Consider the following 23,588-nt stretch of genomic DNA (forward strand, 5'->3'; position numbering starts at 1 on the left):
ATTAGTTTGGCTCACTTGAAAATGATTAAACAAACTTCACAGAAAATCATTCTCCTGATTTAGACCATCACAAATGAATGATTAACTGGCTGAACTATCACTGAGGTTATATATCAAGCTTGTATATATATCAACTCTGTTATGTATCAAGCTTGTTCAGGGCAAAGGAAAGAGCACTTAGAGGATTATACTGAAGCAAGCAGATTGCTCTCTGATTACCTCTGTAAAATCAGATTACCTCTGATTATACTGAAGCAAGCAGCAAGTGCTCTCTGATTACCTCTGTAAAAGGGTTCACCTTAGTCTTTTTTTCCCTCATGTAAGAGATAATGGAAGAACACTGATGCTGGACTTCTGTTTAACTGGGATGTATGGTGATAGTATAGAGAAAGGAGATTTCAATGGAAAAAGAGGAATAGACAACATAAAAAAGGGTAATTCATGAGAAAATTCCTGACTCAGCTGTCTTTGTTAGATGATAGAAGTGCATAACAGTTCTCTCTTAATACAGCATAATTAGTATGTATGGTTTGCACGCTAAGAAAGATGGCACAGGTGATGTCTACACTGTAATCTCCATTGATATCTGGGTAGCAACCCACAGCAAAAGACTTAAAGTGACTTTTCTCTCAGAGATGGCCAATTAGCATATGGGCCCTTTCTACTGTGAACACACAGTAGTTAGGAGAGTATGGACTTTGGAGCCACACCCAAGTTCGTATTCCAGCTATGCCTCTTACAAACTGTGTGATTTGGAGTAGTAACTAACCATCTCTGCCTTGTTTTCCTTTCTAAAAAATGGGTGTAAAATCACCTACCTAATGCAGTTATCATGAAGATCAAATGAGTTAATGTATGGAAAGGGGTGGCACATAGTTACTCCTCAGTAATGTTGGCCTCATTCCCTCTCCCTGCTTTCTGTAATGCAGAGAATTATCTTCTGGTAACTTCATTGAAAAGGCCTCTTTAGGCATGAAATCACCTGCCAGCTGTGCTGAGGACAGGCTTCACAGAGCTCCTGGAGGCTAATTAAGGTGCAGAGTTCAGAGCAGAAAGATGCTTCACTATACCTGTGGCAGGATGGCCACCAGGGCCTGTTCCCTGGCCAGAGTAAGCACTCTTTCCCTAGGGATTTGGAACAGCCCCATTCTCACCTGGTGTTTACCCCAGGTTTTGAAGAGATTCCAAACTAGAGCAGCAAGCAAAGTCTAGAGCTGACTGGGGAACCAGCCCTACCCTGGATATTGGCCTCTGATGAAAGCACCACTAAACCTCACCTTCTCTCCTAAATCTCTTCAGAAATGCTTACTCTCTGTGATAGACATGGAACAGATTGTTTTGCCTCAGGGATTTATTGATTGATTTTGCCAAAGTCTTTCCCAAGGCTCCTTTCAAAACTGGACTGATCCCTTGGTTCTGGGAATGAGTGGTGAACATCAGACCTCTGGAATGGTGGCTGGTCAATGTCTTTGCCCTCTCAAGTTGCTCTTGAATGTTGATTCAACTCATTAGGACATACTTGGATGATGAATTAGAAGGAGCATCTTTGCCCTCTACTTACAGATCCTAGGAACAATTTGTGGAATTATCAGTAAGCAATATCTGTAACAGATAAAATGTCTGCTTTCCCTTTGCCCCTCTTAGCCTATGACATGCCACATCCAATTTGTCTTCGTTCCAACTGTGAGAGGTCTTAATTTCATCATTCTGGCCTTTTGCAGTTAAATGTTCTCCAAGGATATGATCTATGGGGAGAGGACTGATAGTGGAACTAATCTTTCAAAGTTCTGCTTAAGCAATTGTAGATAACATAGGAGAAGAAACTCTGGAAACAATTATGATTATCCTAGTTCTGCCCCTGTGGAAATTCAATCCGAAACCCTTCATGTTTTTGCTTCTCTCTTCTCTACATGGATGGAATATGTTATACTTTTTTGAGCTGAAAAATCTAAATAATTAGAAAAAGACAAAGTTGTAATGAGTTTTCTGTTTAAACTTATAGGACCCTTTCTAATAAAAGTGTTATTGTAATCATTGAATCGTTAGTTAACTGCTTTGTATGGTTATGTCTTGTCTCTCTTTAATCCAGGGACTGCAAGCAACTAGGCAAAAAACTAACAAAAAAACCAATGTTTTATAAGAGTGGTTCTCAAACTTTAAAGTGCTGATTAAAGCACAGATTGCCCAGGCCTCACCCTCAGTAGATGGGTATGGGGCCCAAGAACTTTCAACAGGAGATGCTGCTGCTGCAGCTTGTCTAAGAACTACACTTGGAAAATTACTAATTTGTGTAATAAATACCTGACCATTTGGAATCCTTAGAGGATGGAAATATTTTGTAATGCTGTGTGCAAGATTTGATATAGAAAAACTTGGGTTCAAGTGGCAATTCAGCAGATTACAAGAGGTGAAACAACTGAGTTTCTGAGACTCAGTTTTATTATCTGAAAGTCAGGAATGAAAATAATGCCTATGTGGCAGAACTGCTATAAAGATCAGACAAGGTCGTGTATGGGAAAGGCCTTGGTAAATGGAAAAGCACAATCTAAGTGTAACTTATTCTAGATGTGTTTTCAATAGGCAAGTTTTATATACCTAAGACTAAAAGCTTGCATTTTAATCCCTGGGATTGAAATCTTTCACCATCATCACCATGATGGTAATAACAACAATAACAATACTAGTGCACTATTTATTGTATTTTCTGCAATGGGCACTTAATATGTTTTGATTATATATTTCAAAAACCTCATAAAATCTATTTTATCATGTATATTATTTGCTTACCTAAGAGTGTACTGGACAGAATTTAAATTTTTCTTGAGGGCTTAGGGCAGTGCAGTTCTTAGGGTGTGTGATGTCTCTGTCTATATAGATGATTTGATTTAAAAATGTGTTATATGTGATACATTTATAACGGAATATTTTTTGCTAAAAAGAAATGAGCTACCAAGCTATAAAAAGATATAGAGGAACCTTGGATGCATTTTTCTAAGTTAAAGAAGCCAATCTGAAAAGGCTATAAAACTGTATGATTTCCACCATATGACACTCTGGAAAAGGCAAAACTATGGAGATATTAAAAAGATCAGTGGTTGTCAGGGGTTAAAGGGGAGGAAGGGATAAATAGGCAGAGCACAGATGTTTAGGGCAGTGAATTATTCTGTATGATTCATATTGGTGGATCCATGGTCATTATACATTTGTCAAAACTCATAGAGTGTGCAACATCAAGAGTGAACTCTAATGTAAACTATGGACTATGGGTGATAATGATGTGTCAACATAGGTACATTAATTATAACAAATATACCACTCTGGTGCCCAGTGTTAATACTGGGGGAACTGATGTGTGTAGAGGACAATGGTATATGGGAACTTTCTGTAATTTTGGGAACTGAAAACTGCTCTTAAAAGAATAAAGTGTATTAAAAAGGATCACACCAAAAAATGAATTGCAAAATTCATGACCTCATGTGAAAGATAGTGACTGTGGTAGATAGAATAATGGCCCCTAAAGATGACCACATCCTAGTCCTTGGAACCTGTGAATCTGCTACTTTACTTGGTAAAAGGGGCTCTACAGATATGATTAAGTTAAGGATTTTGAGATGGGAAGGTCATCCTGGATTATCTGAGTGGGTGCAGTGTAATCACAAGGGTCCTTTAAAGATGGAGGCAGACTGTCAGAGGAATTGGCACAAAAGCAGAGGTCACACACACACACGGGGGGATAGAGAGAGAGAGAGAGAGAGAGGAAGATGTTACACTGCTGGCTTTAAAGATGGAGGAAGTGGCTATTAAGTCAAGCAAGGCATGCAACCTCAAAAGCTCCAAAAAACAAGGAAATGACCTTCAGAAGGAATTCAACCTTATATTCCTTGCTGACCCATTTTAGACTTTTGACTATCTGAACTTTAAGTTAATAAAGTGCTGTTGTTTTAAGCCAATAAATTGGTGGTTATTTGTTACATCAGCAATAGGAAACTGGTATAATGATTTTTCAATGAAAATTTAGACAAGATTAGAAAAAAAAAAGAATAAAAAGGAACAAACAAAGCCTCCGAGAACTATGGGACTGTGTAAATAGACCAAACCTATGACTAATTGGAGTACCTGAAAGAGATAGGGAGAATGGATCAAAGTTGGAAAACACACTGTAGGATATCCTTCAGGAGAACTTCCCCAACCTAGCAAGACAGACAATTTTCAAATTTGGGAAATCCAGAGAACCCCAATAAGATACTCCTTGAAAAGATCTACCCCAAGACACATAATCATCAGATTCTCCAAGGCTGAGATGGAGGAAAAATTGTTAAGGTCAGCCAGAGAGAAAGGCCAGGTCACCTACAAAGGGAAACACATCAGACTAACAGCGGACCTCTCAGCAGAAACCCTGCAAGCCAGACGAGATTGGGGGGCAATATTCAACAGTCTTAAAGAAAAGAAATTCCAACCCAGAATTTCATATCCAGCCACATTAAGCTTCATAAACAAAGGAGAAATAAAATCTTTTTTCAGACAAGCAAATGCTGGGGTATTTTGTCACCACCAGAGACCTGTCTTGCAAGAGCTCCTGAAAGAAGCATTAAACATGGATAGGAAAAACCATTACCAGCCACTACAAAAATACATTGAAGTACACAGACCAATGACACTATGAAGCAGCTACATTAACAAGTCTGCAGAATTAACCAGCCAGCATTATGATGACAGGATCAAATTCACACATAACAATATTAACCTTAAATGTAAATGGGCTAAATACCCCAATTAAAGGATTCAGAATGGCAAGCTGGATACAAAGACAAGACCCATCACTGTGCTGTATTCAAGAGACACATCTCATGTGCAAAGATGCACATAGACTCAAAATAAAGGAATGGAGAAAAATTTACCAAGCAAATGGAAAGCATAAAAAAGCAGGGGTTGCAATCCTAGTTTCTAACAAAATTTTTTTTGACTTTAAACCAAAATTTTTTTGACTTTAAACCAACAAAGGTCAAAAAAGACAAAGAAGGGCGTTACATAATGTTAAAGGGTTCAATTCAACAAGAAGAGGTAACTATCCTAAATATATATGCACCCAATACAGAAGCACCCAGATTTATAAAACAAGTTCTTAGAGACCTACGAAGAGACTTAGACCCCCACATAATAATAGTGGGAGACTTTAATACCCCACTGTCAATATTAGATGGGTCAATGAGGCAGAAAATTAATAGTTTAGACTGATCAATGAGACAGAAAATTAACAAAGATATTCAGGGCTTGAACTCAGCTCTAGAACAAGTGGACCTGATAGGTATCTACAGAACTCTCCACCTAAAGGCAACAGAATATACATTTTTTTTGACGTCACATGGCACTTACTCTAAAATTAATCACATAATTGGAAGTAAAGCACTCCTCAGCAAATGCAAAAGAACTGAAATAATAACAGTCTCTCAGACCACAGCACAATCAAATTAGAACTCAAGATTAAAAAGCCCACTCAAAACCACACAACTACATGGAAATTGAGCAATCTGCTCCTGAATGAATGACTCCTGGGTAAATAATGACATTAAGGCAGAAATCAAGAAGTTCTTTGAAATCAATGAGAACAAAGAAACAATGTATCAGAACCTCTGGGATGCAGGTAAAGCAGTGTTAAGAAGGAAATTTATAGCACTAAATACCCACATAAAAAATCTAGAAAGATCTCGAATTGACACCCTAACATCACAACTAAAAGAACTAGAGAATGAAGAGCAAACAAATCCCAGAGCTAGCAGAAGACAAGAAGTAACTAAGCTCAGAGTGGAACTGAAGGAGATAAGAGTCATGAAAAACCCTTCCAAAAAAATCAATGCATCCCGTAGCTGTTTTTTTTTTTAAATCAATGAAATAGACCACCAGCGAGACTAATAAAGAAGAAAAGAGAGAAGATTTCAAATAAACACCATCAGAAACGATAAAGGGGATACCACTACTGACGCCACAGAAATACAACCAACCATCAGATAATACCATAAGCACCTCTATGCAAATAAACTGGAAAATCTAGAAGAATGGATAAATTCCTGCACTCATAAACACCCTACAAAGACTGAACCAGGAAGAAGTTGAATCCCTGAATAGACCAATAACAAGTCCTGAAATTGAGGCAGTAATAAATGGCCTACCAATCAAAAAAAGCCCAGCTCCCGATGGATTTACAGCTGAATTCCACCAGAGGCACAAAGAGGACCTGGTACCATTCTGAAACAATTCCAAACAATTAAAAAGGAGAGATATCTCCCTAACCCATTTTATGAGGCCAGCATCTTCCTGATACCAAAACCTGATGGAGATACAACAAAAAAAGAAAACTGCAGGCCAATATCCCTGATGAACATCAGTGCAAAAATCCTCAGTAAAATACTGGCAAATTGAATCCAGCAGCACATCAAAAAACATCCACCATGATCAAGTTGGCTTCATCCCCGGGATGCAAGGCTGGTTCAACATACACAAATCAATACATGTCATTCATCACATAAACAGAACTAAAGATAAAAACCACATGATTATCTCAATAGGTGCACAAAAGGTCTTCAATAAAATTCAACATCCCTTCATGTTAAAAACTCTCAATAAACTACGTATTGAAAGAACATACCTCAAAATAATAAGAGCCATTTATGATAAACCCACAGCCAGCATCATACTGAATGGGCAAAAGCTGGAAGCATTCCCCTTGAAAACTGGCACAAGGCAAGGATACCCTCTCTCACTAGTCTTATTCAATGTAGTATTGGAAGTTCTGGCCAGGGCAATTAGGCAAGAGAAAGAAATAAAGCGTATTCAAATAGGAAGAGAGGAAGTCAAATTTTCTTTGTTTGCAGATGACATGATCCTATATCTCGAAAACCCCATCATTTCAGCCCAAAAGCTTCTTAAGCTGATAAGCAACGTCAGCAAAGTCTCAAGATACAAAGTCAATGTGCAGAAGTCACAAGCATTCCTATACACCAACAACAGACAAGAAGAAATGCAAATCATGAATGAACTCCCATTCACAATTGCCACAAAGAGAATAAAATACTTAGGAATACAGCTAACAAAGGAAGTGAAAGACCTCTTCAAGGAGAACTACAAACCACTGCTTATAGAAATCAAAGAGGACACAAGCAGATGGAAAAACATCCAATGCTCATGGATAGGAAGAATCAATATCATGAAAATGGCCATACTGCCCAAAGGAATTTATAGATTCAATGCTATTCCCATTAAACTACCATCGACATTCTTCACAGAATTAGAAAAGACTAATTTAAAATTCATATGGAACCAAAAAACAGTTCACATTGCCAAGACAATCCTAAGCAAAAAGAAGAAAGCTGGAGGTATCACACTATCCAACTTCAAACTATACTACAAGTCCACAGTAAAAAAAAAAAAATAAAACCAGCATGGTACTGGTACAAAAACAGGCACATAGACCAAAGGAACAGCATGCAGAGCTCAGAAATAAAACTGCACATCTACAACCATCTGCTCTTCAACAAACCTGACAAAAACAAGAATGGGGAAAGCACTCCCTATTTTAAAAATGGTACTGGGAGAACTGGCTAGCCATATGCAGAAAATTGAAACTGGATCCCTTCCTTACACCCTATACAAAAGCTAACTCAAGATGGATTAAGGACTTAAATGTAAAACCCAAAACTATAAGAACCCTAGAAGAAAATCTAGGCAATACTATTCAGAACATAGGCATGGGCAAAGACTTTATAATGAAATTGCCAAAAGCAATTAAAACAAAAGCAGAAATTGACAAATGGAATTTAATTAAACTAAAGAGCTTCTGCACAGCAAATTAAACTATTATCAGACCAGACAGACAGCCTACAGAATGGGAGAAAATTTTTGCAATCTCTCCATCTGACAAAGGGTGAATATCAAGAATCTACAAGGAACATAAGCAAATTTACAAGAAAAAAAACAACCCCATTAAAAAGTGGGCAAAGGATTTGAACAGACACTTCTCAAAAACAGATACTGCAGCCAGCAAACATGAAAAATAGCTCAATATCACTGATCATTAGACAGAGGCAAATCAAAACCACAATGAGATACTACCTCACGCCAGTCAGAATAGCAATGATTAAAATGTCATGAAACAACAAATGCTGGTGAGGTTGCGGAGAAATAGGAACACTTTTACACTGTTGGTGGGAATGTAAATTAGCTCAAACATTGTGGAAGACAGTGTGGCAATTCCTCAAAGATTTAGAACCAGAAATATCATTTGACCCAGTAATCCCATTACAGGGTATATACCCAAAGGAATATAAATCATTCTATTGTAAAGATCCATGCACGCGTATGTTCATTGCATCACTATTCACAACAGCAAAGACGTGGAATCAACCCAAGTGCCCATCAATGATAGACTGGATAAAGAAAATGTGGTACATATACATCATGGAATACTATGAAGCCATAAAAAGGAATGAGATCATGTCCTTTGTAGGGACATGGACGAAGCTGGAAGCTGCTATTCTCTGAAAACTAATGCAGGAACAGAAAACCAAACACCGTAAGTGGGAGCTGAACAATGAGAACACATGGACACAAGGAGGGGAACAACACACACTGGGGCCTGTCATGGGAGGGTGCTGGGAGGAGAGCATTAGGGAAAAGAGCTAATGCATGCTGGGCTTAATACCTAGGTGATGGGTTGATAGGTGCAGCAAACCACCATGGCACACATTTACCTATGTAATAAACCTGCACATCCTGCACATGTACCCCGGAACTTAAAAGAAAATGTAGAAAAACGGGTAGAGAAGAGTGATTTACATACTTCATTTTCCAATTAGTGCATGTGAAAATAATTCATCTTGGTAGTATTGTCCAGATACTATCTCTTCCTGTTTAGGTCCAGGAACAGTCTGCTTGTGTTTTTTATTGTCAAATGAGTTGTTCTCTAATTTCATCTCTCACTGGGAGAAAAAGAATAACAATACTCATACTCAAAATGCTGTGGCTGTTTAGAATCTGTTTATATGAAAATAATATAGATCTTGCCTCTGCAGTTCCCTAATACCATTCATTGATGTTGTTTGTATTATTCGTGATGCTGTTTCATCCATTGTGTTGCCTGTGAATATTGGTTTCCAATGACTAAAGGTTTGTTAGTGTGCTTTGTTGATGGTCATCACAAATGCAAGTGTTCCATGGAGTAGGAAGAAAAAAATAGGAATGATAATTTCTGGTCATGTTAAATTTATTTTTCAGAATTTTATAACTTAGAAACACATCTTTCAGTTATACTTTTCTTGAACTCATTAGATCATATTCACTGCATTCCTAAAATGTGATCCCTTTCAATGTTGACCTCTCTTCTGTCCCCTATTCCCCCATACAGCCACCAGCAGAAAGGAGAGATGAGTAAGAATGTTCTCATTGGCACAAGGAATGTTTGTCCCTAGAATGGCACAGCTTAAGACAGAACCAGGAAATCACAGGTTTACCACATTGATGAGAAGCAGGAGAAGGCTTGATTGGAAAGGCCCATTGGTGTTGCTGATCAACAATCTAGAAAGCCCTTAGAGGACAGGCATAGTTAACCTCAGAAAACTCTGTGACATTAGCTAGTGTGCTTTGTGGAGAGAGTCAGGTAAGTAAGGGGTTTGGAGAACATGTTCAGGTTCAGGAACATTCTACACTTAAATGGGCTTACTCTTACCCTCTGCTTCAATCCCCATCCCTTCTACAGGTTAGATCTTGGGACAGCCCACATACCTAGACAAACTTAGGCTTTCCAGCTTGCACTGGACCAGGGTGGAAAGGTAAGGAAAAGAAACACATCCGCAACATTTTACTGCTTTTTTTTAGATCAACCTCACCCATTTAAGGAGTGTGGACTGACGGCTATCACATTACAAACAGACTGGGTTGAATTAGAGGTGGAGAAAGAGGCTGAGAATGTCACTTTAGGGGTGCTCCTCCATATGGAGACACAGGAGTGAGGAATCAATGATTTCTCCCAACAGCTTCAAACAGATAGATCTATTGTGTGAATTTCTTGGGGATCTGATCTTAGTCTTGTGACTTCTGACTTCTTACATGTTGATTGTTTCCTCGTGTGTCTTGAAATTATGAATTAAGAATTTTTCTTAAGTAGTGTAATTTCTGTGGAAATTTGATGGGCCTGTTTGAGGATGTGTTATTCCAAAGACATTCTGCCTTTGCTTTTGCCAGATGTACAGAGGACATTACTGGCATGAGACTTCTTTTTGTGCTTACAATTTAATGTGGGTAGTTCCAGATCATATTCAAACTCAAATCTGTGTGACTATGAGGATAAACCCAATGTAAATTTTTTGTTAACCAGGGCCCAGATTAAGACAGACATGCTTCCTTTATGTTTCCCTGTGAATCTGAGTGGGTTCTTGCCTCCCCATCTCACACATATTCATTGAGGATGTAGCTCTTCAGAGGTTTCAGCCTTACTGGGAGGGCCATTCCTTAAAGGCTTCCTGGGGTCTCAAGACCATGTTTCCTGTGTGAAAGTTGTCTATACAAAAATGGAGTCACTTCTGTCAAACCGTAAGGAAAGAGAGCTTGGAGACCATGAAGGGAGGACCTTCTTACATGTTTGCATGATAACAGAAACTATCACAACAGATTGTCAAAACCACAACCTTGTACAAAGATTACATCTATAAGGATGCCTGCCCAGCAGCTGTCTGTCCACTAATGAACTGATGCCACTCTTGTTATTAATCCTTGTAGCCAAGGATATCATTTCAAAACAACGAATGTAACCTCCTTCGTTTTGCCTTTATTTTCATATTGTTTTGAATTATGTGTAAGTAATAATATAATTTCTGGGTTATTCCAAATTCCCTTTTGTAAGTTATCCTTAAGTTATTTCGCACACTGCTAAGTTTAATTTAACCTAGCTAGTTTTGTTTAATAGGTTAAAAGGAATTAAATTGGTTTTAAAATAAATTATGCTGTGAATAATAAAAACGCTAATAGGAAATATATTCCATTAAAAAAACCCCTTGTCTTCTTTGCTTCTCTGGATGCACCTATGGCCCTCTATAGCATGTATATCTGATTACAATCCCCTGCTATTACCAGATAAACTCTGATCTGGAAGCCAGTCTCTCTGCTGTTTATTTTAGGTTGACACCAGCTGGGGTGGGCATTAAACCCTTTATGATAGAGGTCTGCAAATTGTCCCAGGTCTGTTATAGCATCGCTTACATGCTTTCTACTTGGATATTTAATTGTCTTTGTTTTGGCCTCTGGGAATTTCCCTTACTTTCTTAAGAGCTATGTCAAAGGATATTTGCTTTATTTTATAAAACATAAGTATGAAATATTTATACTTTATAAATATACTTTTAATACTCATCATTCATAAGTATAATAATTTTGTAAGTATTTAAATAAGTAGTAGTAGATGTTTCAAGTTCTCTAGTCTGCTACTTTTAGATCTTTAGATATTCTAATTCTTCTGCCTGGAACGCTCTTTTCCCTTTTCACTTGACTAAACCAGAGGTCACATCCTTAAGGAAGCTGTGAGCTTCAAGTTTGAATTAAATACCCTCCACTCTTTACCCTCAGTGCATAGATCTAATGGCTTGTTTGCCCTCGTGTGTTTCCTCCACTGAACTGCAAGCTCTGTGAGCCCATGCCTATTTAGTGTACCCTAGCTTGACACTTAGTAGAGAACCAACTATTTGTGAATGAATGCATGTCTTCTGTTGACATGTTTGCTTATTATTATTTTTTTTAATCCTGCCTCTTGGCTTGAAGTTGTTTGTTTCCATAGATTTTTAGCCTTCCGCCTTTATGAATTTTCGTTGGTGTCTAGCAATAAAAGCTCCCACTGGGAGTAACTTCACACTGGTTGTCAATTTATTAATGAAAGCCTGGCAACTAACATGTTTTTCACAGTAGAAACAGAAATATATTTTTCTAAAAACTTTTTTATTATTCAGTCAGTTTTTTCATATTACATTTCAGCTCTTGTTCAACTGAGGATTCTTTTAAAAATGCTATATTGATTTTTCTATTGCCCTTCACTAAAATTACCTTCTTCATTATAAAAAACTCAATTTTATGTCAGGTAAGAAACAATGGGAATCTATTCTTTTACTCCATAGGTATTTGTTGAGTCCCTTCAAAGTACAAGAAAGAATGCAGAGAGATGCTGGTAGTTCAGGAAGGCTGTGTAATTCAGGTGGGGCCGGGGAGAACTGAATGTTTCTCGAGGATGGAGCCAGAGTAGAAAAAGAGCAGCAGAGGCTCCAGAAAACAAAGTTACAGTCCTCTCCTCATCTTCCAAGGAGTGTTACTGATTTACTGATTCTTTTCTATAGGTTTTATTTTTAATTGACACCTAGCAATTGACACCTAGCAATTGCACACATTTATGGGATACAGTGTGATATTTCCATATATATATTATATATATATATATATAGCATAATGATCAAATCAGGGTAATTGTCTAATCCATCATCTCAAACATTTATCATTTCTTTGCAGTGAGAACATTCAAAATCCTCTCTTCTAGTTATTTGGAAATATAAAGTACAATATTGTTAACTATAGTCACCTTACTGTGCACTAGAACACCAGAACTTATTCCTCCCATGTATCTGTAATTTTGTATCTGTTGACCAATCTCTTCCCCTTCCCGACCCCCCAACCCCAGCCTTTGGTAACCATCTACAGTGTACTTCTATGAGATCGGTTTTTAAAAATTCCACAAATTAATGAGATTACGTGGTATTTGTCTTTTTGTGCCTGGCTTATTTCACTTAACATAATGTCTTCAGGTTCATTTATGTTGCCACAAATGACAGGATTTCATTCTTCTGAATGGCTGAATAGTATTCCATTGTGTATATATACCACATTTTCCTTATTCATTCATCCTTTGATGGACAATTAGGGTGATTCCGTATCTTGGCTATTGTTAATAGCTGCAATAAACATGGGAATGCAGGTATCTCTCTGACATTATTTTATTTCTTTTGGATAAATACCCAGTAGTGGGATCGCTGGATCTACTTATTTGTCCTTTATTTAAAATTATTTTATTTTTTAGCGATAAACGTCCCACTCTATCACCTAGGCTAGACTGCAGTGGCTTGATCTTAGCTCACTGTAACCTTCAACCCCTGGGCTCAAGCAACCCTTCTGCCTCAGCCTCCGGAGTAGTTTGGACTAAAGGCGTGAGCCACCATACCCAGCCAACTTACTTATTCTCATAGGCTCAGTAGAGCAACTTTAGTAGCTATTTCTGTAGGCTTTTCTGGAGAGAGAGAGAGAAAGAGAGACAGATAGAGAGCAGTTGTAGCTGAGGTAGAGTTGATGACCACGTTTCATGGCAGATCAGTGAGACCAGAGAATTCCTGACTTTCAGAGCTGGGTGGTAAAGGGGGAAGTTTGCTTCTTACAGTTACATGCTGATTGGTGTCATATAAAGCCTTAAAACACTCCTATTGGGTAAGACAAAAATGATATGAAGTGGAAATGTGAAAAATAGCTTTGCAGGTAGTTAGTATCAGGTATATTAAAGTTAGAAACTATTATGAAGGTTGGCATGGTGGCCAATGCCTGTAATTTCAGCACTTTGGGAGGCCGAGGTGGGTGGATGGCTTGAGCCTAGGAGTTCGAGATGCTGTCTCTACAAAAAATGGGTGTGGTGGCATGGGCCTGTGATCCCAGCTACTTGGGAGACTAAGGTGGGAAGATCACTTGAGCCCAGGAGACATAGGTTGCAGTGAGCTGAGAAAGCATCACTGTACCCCTGCCTGGGCAACAGAGTGAGACCCTGTCTCAAAACAAAACAAAAAAACCCAAACCCTGTTATTATAGTTCATGTTCAGTGTTTTTTTCTTTAGCTATGCAAGCTTGTCCCTGAGATTCCAGTTTAGGAAGAGGAATCCTAAAATTGGGATTGCCGTTAGATAACTGAAAGAACCAACTCAGTTCCTGTGGCTACTGCCTAAAATCCCTTTGTCCACCATAAACACACCTTTGCACAGGTGTGTGCACATGCACACAAACACACATACTTAAAATGAGGAAAGCCAGGAAGAGAAATCACATATGCTAGTCAGTCAGATTTCTTTTGATTAAAATAATCATGATTTTTATTCTATTTGTAACTTGTGGGTTTTATTTTGAACAAATGGTTTGTGAACTGGAAACATGTTTTTCTGAGCTATAATCTGAATACAGCTTAAAACTGTGAAGAATATTTTCTTCAAGTTTTAAGTATTTCTTCTAATTTAATGTTATGTGCCTTAAGAATAGAAAATCATAGGCTGACATTTCCATATATCAAATGTAAGAATCCCTGTTTGCTAAGAATGCTACAGAACTAAGAGCAACAAAGCAGGTTCAAGAGTTGTCAAATGTGTCCCTTTTCCATAGGAAGGGTAGATGTCTACCCAAATGGAATATTGAGTATCAGAGACTTCAAATGATAACTTTTGTTTGTTTGGAGAAAATCTTGAGGACGTGATCACTGTACAAAAGGTAATAAGCAAGTCTTAAACAATTTTCCCCCCTACCTTTTATTTTCTCTATTGATTTTTTTCCATTTATTTTTATTTAGCCACTAAAAATCTTAAAAAAAAACACACAGTTTTATTAGTTCTTTATGGTCAGGAAGGAAGATTACTTCTTTAAATATAACTAAAACTCTGGCACTCTCTAGTGGTCAGAGAATCTAAAATATTGTTCTACATGAGCTTATACTTTACTTCTTCCTTTAGCTTTATGAATTAGACATAACCTAGATATTCTGCCCCACATGAAGAAGGCTTGTCTAATGGCAAAATAATGAAATCAGAAATTCTGCATTTACTCATAATTTCACACCTCTAGACTAGAAGCACTGAGATACAGTGGTGTGGGAGTCTGTGAAGGCATTTTCTTAGCTATTACCAGATGAACTAAATTAAGAAATGTTAACTGTAAAAACTCAGACAAACCAAACCTGCTGGGTGAGGGAATTCCTGTCTCTAATGCTTCCAGATAGCCCATTTGGCTTGTAAGAGTGGATTTGAGACCTTTATAAATTTAAATTCAAAAAGAGAACTAAGGAATAGACCCCTTGCTTTGCAACTAGACAGATCTGGGCTCAAATCCAGCTCATGCCATTTGGCCAAGTATTCAGCTCCAAGCCTCAGCTCCTCATGGAGCATCAGGCTGGTAATAATCACCCTCCAAAGAGTCATTATTGACTTGAAGTGAGAAGGAGATGGAAAACATTGCCCCCAAATTGGCAACAAAGAGTATTAATAAAAGGAAGACTATTATTGAGAAGAGTCTAGGCTAAGGAAAGGATTACTTTTCTTCGGCTAATAGGATCACAGGTTAGCTTGATTAAAGTCTCTCAAAGTATTGGGCCCATTCTCTCTGCCTAAAATCCAAACTCCCCTATTAATTCCCCTCCCTTAAAATTCAGAGTCCCCTAATAATCACACAGTATTCATACCTACTTGATCATTCTTTTTATTTTTACAAAGCATGGCAAAATGAGGAAACCACTGACAGGTGAAGAATTTGCACAATGGAAAACCACCTTGACCATCTCATGACTTTATACAGGAATCGGAGGTAAGTGTTCCTTTAAAGTGATTTTGTCATGAAAGAGTCATCTGAAATGACTCTCGTGATGGAGGAAAGGAAAGTAATGAAATCAACATTCATGGTTATTTAAAATGCCTTAAAAGCTAAGCATAATATACATAGTAACTCCTTTTCCTAGTATAAAAATAGTGCCAGAAACTATATTTGTTCAAATATATTGAAAAGGTATAAGAATACAAATAGATATTAACAGTGGCTAGTGATGCCTCATAAGGTTTTCTTAAACTGTAATATAAATTTATATTTTCAACTATTTACATTGCTTTCAACAACATTCATTAAGACATGTTTACACAGGCTTTTAGTAAGTATATGGAATGGTAAAGTGAGCTTTAATACTTTCTTCTTCACTCTCTGTAGTAGAGCAGAAGGGGTCCAAAACCATGCACAATTTAACAGTCCAGAAGAACTGTGTAATCTTTACCTGGCTAGCACATGGAAAAAATAAACTATATACAAGAATACAAAACTCCTAAAGTGTTCTTCAACTATCAGCAGGTTAAGTGATTCATACTTGCAAAAAGACAGGATGTTTGTTTACTGGTAGATTCTTAGTAAGTTTCAGGTAAAGAAGGTGCATAAAACATATGTTATTGATGAAAATGGAAATGATGCAGTATACCCCATGTTCTCACATTAAATTGGCAGTATCAGAAGCTAAGTCTCTTCTCTAGCACCTCCTTCAGGGACCGTGAGCTCCTTGGGGTCACTGCTCTGTCTCCACAGCAGAGCACGGTACCTAACATGTGGCAGGACTCAATAAAAGGTGGGTCAGTGTATTTCTGATACAAAACAATTAAATTGTGCCACCTTATTTTGACTACAGTTGTTCATAAGAGAGGATAACGATGACATTTTGTATCCTCTCATATTAAATCAATCTTGTAAACAAAAGACAATTGCTTGTGATGGCCTGTTAAGTTTTAGGAGTACAATCTGGTGAAAAACACAGAAAAAAATTGTAGATCAAATTGGAACAGGTCTAATATTTATTTGCTATGCTGAAAATAAAGGCACTTCACTGCTAGGCAAGAATATATCTGTGACTGAACAGTTTTCTCCAAGAATCCAATATTTCCAGTATATTTTCATATACTTTCTTATCTCTAATACTCCTATTAAAGGAAACTATTATTCAAAATTAAGAGACAGTGGTGACAACATCATCATCCTGGGTTTGTACCTTGAAGCAATATACTCAATGAGCTCTAAATCTCACATTCACTAGTGATCTGCAAGTGAAGCTGAATAAATATATTCTCTTTGTTCAGTCATGGAAACTCAACATTAGAAATGACATGTGGGAATAGATCACCTTCTCTCTAGACTAATATCCCATTTCTGACAGTGGTCTCCATGGCCCATTGGGGCTTATAAAGTAGCTGCCTTCTGTGACATTCTGCTTGAAGACAAAGGCTTTGCCCAAACATAACTCCTTTTAAAAAAGCACAACTTGTTTAGGCACACAGAGGTTAAGTGACTTACACAAATCCACCCAGGATTGTGATTGGCACGGTCTAATCTACTGAAAAATATAAGGCCAGGCAATTATATAGATATCTTTTAACAAGTTAGTAAAATAGTGGGGACTTTTCTGGCTAAAAATTGTAATTAAATGGTATGTTACTCTGTTATAACTAAACAAACAAAAAATCTAGAACAAGAACTTCTTGCTAGTTATGGGTAATATAAATACAGAGTAAGGTGAAGGAGGACTGTATGTATATTTTTCCAACTTGAGAAGATACTAGAAAGGAAATTAAAAATTATTTGAACCAATTAACCAGCCCTAAAGAAGTACTCTGCTTTGTATGAACTAAAATATCCAACAAAGAAATAAAATAGGCATTGCCCAGCTTCCTTTAATGTCTCAACTAGTAAAGTAAAATAAACAATATTCAAAGGCAGACCAAACCATTTCTAATCTAAATATATCTTCTTGCTTATTAAAATGACACACATACAAAGCCTCTAAACACGATCTACCATGTCTTTAAAAAATTTCTCAGTGACACATACTAGAGGGGACCAAACAAACTACTAAAGCATAAGTACATATTTTAGCATAACTGCTAAATCACAATGTAATAAAAAGGTTTATTAAAGATTGCTATTCTTTATGCAATTTTTCTATACTAAGGATTTATGTATGCATGCATAAGTATACACCTGTATGTATATATAACTATTATTTTAGTGATAGTCTGTGTATTTTACACACCAGTGCCACAAAGGGGCAACCTTACAAATTTTATCTGTATGGCAAAAAAAATAAAATATCCTGAAAATACAAGTATACAATACATATAGCATTAAACAGTTGGTAACTTCCTAGATTAACCTTTACCAAATACAAAATAATGGCAATACAATGTGTTTTGCTTCTATTTTTTGTTTTTTTACCAGAATGATAAAAATAAAACTGCATTATGTCAAGATATTTGTACACACTCAGAATTTTAAAAACTTAAGGAACATACTGAATTTTAGGCAAAATTTAGGGGAATCGGGACATAGATGGAAAACACATTTTGGCGAAAGGTCCTTGAGAATGCTGGATTACCATGTCCCTTAGAAATTTTCTATCCAAATTAGTGATAGAAACTCAGATCAAATATCTTTTTTGTGGGTTGGAGGTAGAAGTTAACAAATCAAGCAAATCTCTCCTTCTACTCTCCCCAAATCCAAACATTCCTGCATATTTGAAACAAATTTTCCTTTCCTAGACCAGTTGCTTAATTCATTATCTACTTCTCCAATATTGAGTAAATGTGTCTTTAGGGGCACACATGTAGAATATTAATCCACTTAAATGGGCTCAAATTCTAAGAAAATATTAACTATACTAAATGTTATGGGAAGAAAATACATTGAATGTGAGTTAAGGGCCAGTGTTTAGCATTCACATCCAGGATTCTCTGGATCTCAGTTGACTTGTCCTATACATCAAAATATGGCAATTTTTCAATCACAATACTGCTAAATGTTATTCAGGCATAAAGTTTCTTACCCACTGTTCCCTCAAATTCATTTTTGACCCTAGTATTGGCAATAGCCCTTTGCTATTTATATAATTAAAACTTTTCTTTAAATTTCAATTGACAGGAAAAAGAGTCATTTTGTACTCTCTTATCTATAACCATGTCTCACTTCAAGTCAATGCTACAATTGTCACTTTTATTTTGAAAAGGAAGCTCAGAAGGAAAAAAACTCTTAGAGAGATCTTCTAACAGAACATTTTTCTTCACTGATAGACATCCAAGGCCATTCCATTTCTAAATCACACTTATCCCTCAATCAAGTCAGTGACTGGATCATCTCCTAAGGTTTCACCTGCTTTGCATCAGGTAGGTGAGATGAAAGTGATTTTATGGGTAGCTTTCAGAAAAATGTACTGCACTGAAGTGACAAAGTTCTGTCTTGCCTGTTCTCTCACAAAACAGCATATCAATTAAATAATGTTTTCTTTACAATACAGTTTCATAGGACTTTCCATTTGTTTCAGAGTGCCTTAACTTTTTAAAAAAAGACACTGTTAACAAATACAATTATTTCTCTTAAAATCCACTCAGCCAGCATTTTTCACTATCCTATAAAGGCTTTAAATGTCACAGAATGTATGATAATTTGCTCCTAACCTACTTTTGAAAAAGGAAAGATTCCAAACATTCTTGAAAAAATGGTAATTCAGAAAACACAAAAACCAATTATTTAAAATAATCCCCAAGCAAAAAAACCTCAGTGCAAGAATACTGCATACACTTTGCAGTACACGAAATATCACAAACAATGCTTTTATCAATGTGCTAACAGTGGATGTTGTTGATCCTTTCAGTTCAGTAGCATAAAACAAATATACAAAAAATATGTAATAGTCCTCTAAAAACATTCATGCTATACTCTCAAAAGTTGTGCAAAAATAAAAATACAGCAGTGGCAAAGTATATACCAAATACAGACACTATACAGACAGTGTGTAAGAAACTAGGCATATTGCAGAACACACCATCTCTGTAAACTTCAACTCTGCATGAAATAGGCCACTCAGTTCCGCTTGGCCTGGCCGCTTTCCCCATTAATCAGCATCTTCTCCTGCTGTTCTGCAAGGGCCTGCCATTTCTGCCTGTTCTTTCTGCAGCCATCTAGCAAAGGGAAACAGTCCTCTGACACGTGGGTCAGGGCCTAAAGAGAAAAAAGAAAGCAAACAGCTAGAGAGAAGCCAGGAAATAAGTCCTCTCCCACAGGCCTGTTACAAAGGGCCACATCCCACACTCATTTCATAAGCAGACTCACTGTTGAAATTTTCACAAGCTTTGTGAGCACATACACAGATCATTTACACATGATTCTTCTAAAACACTACAGATAAGGAGTACATGCTGAGGGACAGAGCAAACACACACATTCCAAAATAACATTACTGTGCTAGGGAGACAGATCTGTGTGGAATCCACTTTTAGGGGAAAAAAGACATTTTGTTTCTATGTAGTACAGTTGGCTCTTCCTAAGTGTGACTGCATCAGGGAACTGCTTAGTTTTTGCGTTTTTCTAGGGAATGGTTTCATACAATGTACTTAAATAGGCTTTTATCCAGGATTATATTATAATAAAGATTCATAATTTGGTGTGGCATTATTATGTACCAATTATAGTGCCATAAATATTTAGCCACCAGAATGTTCATTTCAGATTTCTTCCTAATAGTGAACCACTTAAAATGACAAATACCCAACAATAGGTTGTCACTGTAAAACCTCCCGCAGAATAAAAAAATAAAAAGAAACCTCACAGAAACACATTTGATACATAAAATATGGATATAATGACATTATGGATTGCAAAAGGCAATTACTGAATTATTAAATGAAAAGTATATGAAAATGTCATAAAGCATATACATTGATATGTTATCTGTAGTTTTCTCTGGGTAATGGATTGTAACTGGTTTTATTTTCCTTTTTGCTTCTCAGTAATTCTGATTTTTCTTTTTCTTCTTTTTTTTAGGGCAGGGTTCCACTCCCATTGCCCAGGCTGGAGTGCAGTGGCGTGATCTTGGCTCACTGCAACCCCCTCCTCCCCTATTCAAGCAATTCTTCTGCCTCAGTCTTCTAAGTGGCTGGGACTACAAGCGCGTGCCACCACACCCGCGCTTATAATAGAAAATAATTTTTCTGTTTTTTTGTAGGGATGGGGTTTCACCATGTTGGCCAGGCTGGCCTCGAACTCCTGAGCTCAAGTGATCAACCTGCCTCTGCCTCCCAAAGTGCTGGGATTACAGGTGTAAGCCACCATGCCCGGCCTCTGATTTTTCTATAGTGAGAACATAACTATTTCTGTAATAATATTAAAAATACTTGTCAGTATCACATAGAATTTTCAACAGCAGATTCAAATAAAATGAATCCTTGTGTGTGTGTATATATATATATATAAATGTAGAAGGATAACATCTATAATAGGTGATTACTATGTTGACTGTATTTACAGGGATGGAGAAAACTCAAAAGAGCCATTAGTATTTTTAATGGAGAAACTCTTAATCCAATCAATAAGGAAAGCAACTGTTATGGAAAGAATGAGATGTCCAAGTGTTTGAAACAATGCTCTGAACACACTTCATACTTCTGAGGAAGAGCTTTGAACAAAGGAGTAAACAAGTAGAATGCTGAGAAAAATAGGGAGACGACAGTGGCACATGACACCTAGTTTTTTTTTTTTTTTTTCTCCATGGTTCTTTTGGTATCTCTCCTTCCTTTCCCTGTCAGCCACAGTTCTTTATATTAAATTCTTTTGATGGCGAGAATCCTGGAGTAGGAGTGAGAACTGGACTGTAGATGCACCTCTCCCACTAACCACCTGTTTGGGGCAAATAGTCTGTCTCGTTGGGAGATGAACTTTACAAGTTCAATTACTAAATCTGAAATATCTGGATTAGAATATTTCTAGGTTTTTTTTCTGCTCTTGACATTCTATGATAACTCCATGACAAATGTTCTTTTTCCAAATAATTAAAACTTAAAACATTTCCGTTTAAACCTTCAAAGACAAAGACAACTTCTTCTTTCTGCATTTGAGTCATAAACATCTAAACTAATAAGTTAGATGTTTTAGGGAGAATCTATTTGCCTACAATAACCACCCCCCCTCCAAAAGCCAAGCCAGCAGATACGTGGAAATGGGAACCTGCAATATTCTACCTCCTTCCTTTTAATCTCAGAAGAATTTTTATAACTAGAGTAAAGCCACATTATGACAATGAGAAAAAGTTGGATTACTTTTCTTTATTTAGGCTAAAATTTAGACTTAAAAAAAGAATATGCTAACGCATAGTATATACAGTATTGCTCCTTGAGGGTAACACTGGCACATAATTCTTCTTAGCATCCCCAAATCAATTTGTTGGAGATTAGCACATAGTAGGCACTCAATAGATATTAGTATGTGTTCCTTGTTCAATACAAACATGTTCATCAGTAAAAGAAACCATACTGCTAATAATTTTATTTCTTGATTTAGAAGCAAAATATAGGCGCCTAATATTAATCTCTTCAATTTTAGGTTCTAATTCACAACAGTCCAAGTTTAGCAAGTCTAGTAGTTTTCATATAAATACCTCATACAGTTGCAAGCAGATGGCATCTATGAACCCAACTTGCATACTTGGGATTTTGTTTTTCTTCTCCCTGTTCATTAGATCCTGAAAATACAAATACAGACCAGACACACAGATGTGCATTTATTTATTTAGTTAGTTATTACTTTATTATTTTTTGAGATGGAGTCTCACTCTGTTGTCCAGGCTGGAGTGCAGTGGCACCATCTCAGCTCACTGCAACCTCCACCTCCCAAGTTTAAGCTATTCTCCTGCCTCAGCCTCCCTAGTCAGGTGTGCAGTACCACGCCTGGCTGATTTTTTATTTTTATTAGCGACAGGGTTTCACCATGTTGGCCAGGCTGGTCTAGAACTCCTGACCTCAAGGGATCTGACTGCCTTGGCCTCCCAAAGTGCTGGCATCACAGGCATGAGCCATTGTGTGCATTTATTTAAAGAACACAAAGCTGGCTCTAGAAAGGTGAATCAGTGGGTTAGCCTAGGAAGGTCAGACAGCAACTAATACAAAAAGAAAAAAAGAGGAAAACTCTTATGTTTTATTTCAAGGAAACTCATTCCAAAAAACAGAAGTGGGCTGAGAGGAATCTTTACTTGTATCTGAGATCCATACTCTATGTAAAAAGGCAGTATGTATCAAAGACCTTTAAATTCTGTTTGCCCTTCAACACGACAACTTTGGGAATTTATGCTAACAAGATAATGAAGAATGAGGTTTGGCGGTTTATCTATTCCCTTGGTGTAATGTTTGCAGTGTTCACTATTACAAACAGCACTGTGATAAACATCTATGATAGATGAAACACTGCTCTGAACACACTTCTGAGGAGAACTTTGAACAAAGGAGTAAACAAGTAGAATGCTGAGAAAACTGGGGAGACTGTGGTGGTGGCATGACATCTGGTCATCTTTCCTCCATGTTTCTTTTGGTATCTCTCCTTCCTTTCTCTGTCAGCCACAGCTTCTCTATTAAATTCTTTTGATGGCGAGAACCAAGGAGTAGGAGTGAAACATCTATGATGGATGTTTATCACAGTGCTGTTTGTAATAGTGAACACTGCAAATATTACACCAAGGGACGTAGGTAAATTATGGTTACATCGATTTCATGTAATCATGATAATACATAAGAATATTTGTTAAAATGAAAAGTGGTTTCTAATACTTAAGCGGAAAAAAACAAATTACAAAGAACACTGATACAATATGATGAACCCAAGAGTCTTTATTATGCCTTTTATTGGTTTTGCTTTCTGTAATGAACATGTATAATTCTTCCAATGAGAAAAAAGTTTTAAAAAATAAAATGAGAAATTGT

The 23,588-nt window shown here is 37.0% G+C and overlaps 1 protein-coding gene and 1 pseudogene across 4 annotated transcripts in view, besides 1 other annotated feature; one reads left to right on the forward strand and one right to left on the reverse strand.

Moving 5' to 3' along the window:
• SEPTIN7P14 (septin 7 pseudogene 14) overlaps nt 1-20,696 on the forward strand; it is a 44,810-nt pseudogene extending 24,114 nt beyond the window's left edge. Inside the window, exons 6-9 of the transcript NR_037630.1 lie at nt 14,437-14,541; nt 15,537-15,627; nt 18,915-19,007; nt 20,665-20,696. The product of NR_037630.1 is annotated as a septin 7 pseudogene 14 (transcript). The remainder of the gene's footprint in view (nt 1-14,436; nt 14,542-15,536; nt 15,628-18,914; nt 19,008-20,664) is intronic.
• Nucleotides 11,632-11,731: a silencer, noted in NCBI's record as "silent region_15655". NCBI's record gives its function as "represses an Ori minimal core promoter by ATAC-STARR-seq in GM12878 lymphoblastoid cells {active_cell/tissue: GM12878}" and the evidence as "EXISTENCE:reporter gene assay evidence [ECO:0000049][PMID:35858748]".
• PDE5A (phosphodiesterase 5A) overlaps nt 15,507-23,588 on the reverse strand; it is a 134,402-nt gene continuing 126,320 nt past the window's right edge. For all 3 annotated transcript variants that reach the window (NM_001083.4, NM_033437.4, NM_033430.3), the window contains exons 20-21: nt 22,274-22,357; nt 15,507-19,842 (exon numbers count right to left, since the gene is read on the reverse strand). In NM_001083.4, the coding sequence (NP_001074.2) occupies nt 19,705-19,842; nt 22,274-22,357 (222 nt within the window). In that variant the 3' untranslated portion in view covers nt 15,507-19,704. The remainder of the gene's footprint in view (nt 19,843-22,273; nt 22,358-23,588) is intronic.

The sequence above is a fragment of the Homo sapiens genome, chromosome 4, assembly GCF_000001405.40.
Source record: "Homo sapiens chromosome 4, GRCh38.p14 Primary Assembly".
NCBI lineage: Eukaryota > Metazoa > Chordata > Mammalia > Primates > Hominidae > Homo > Homo sapiens.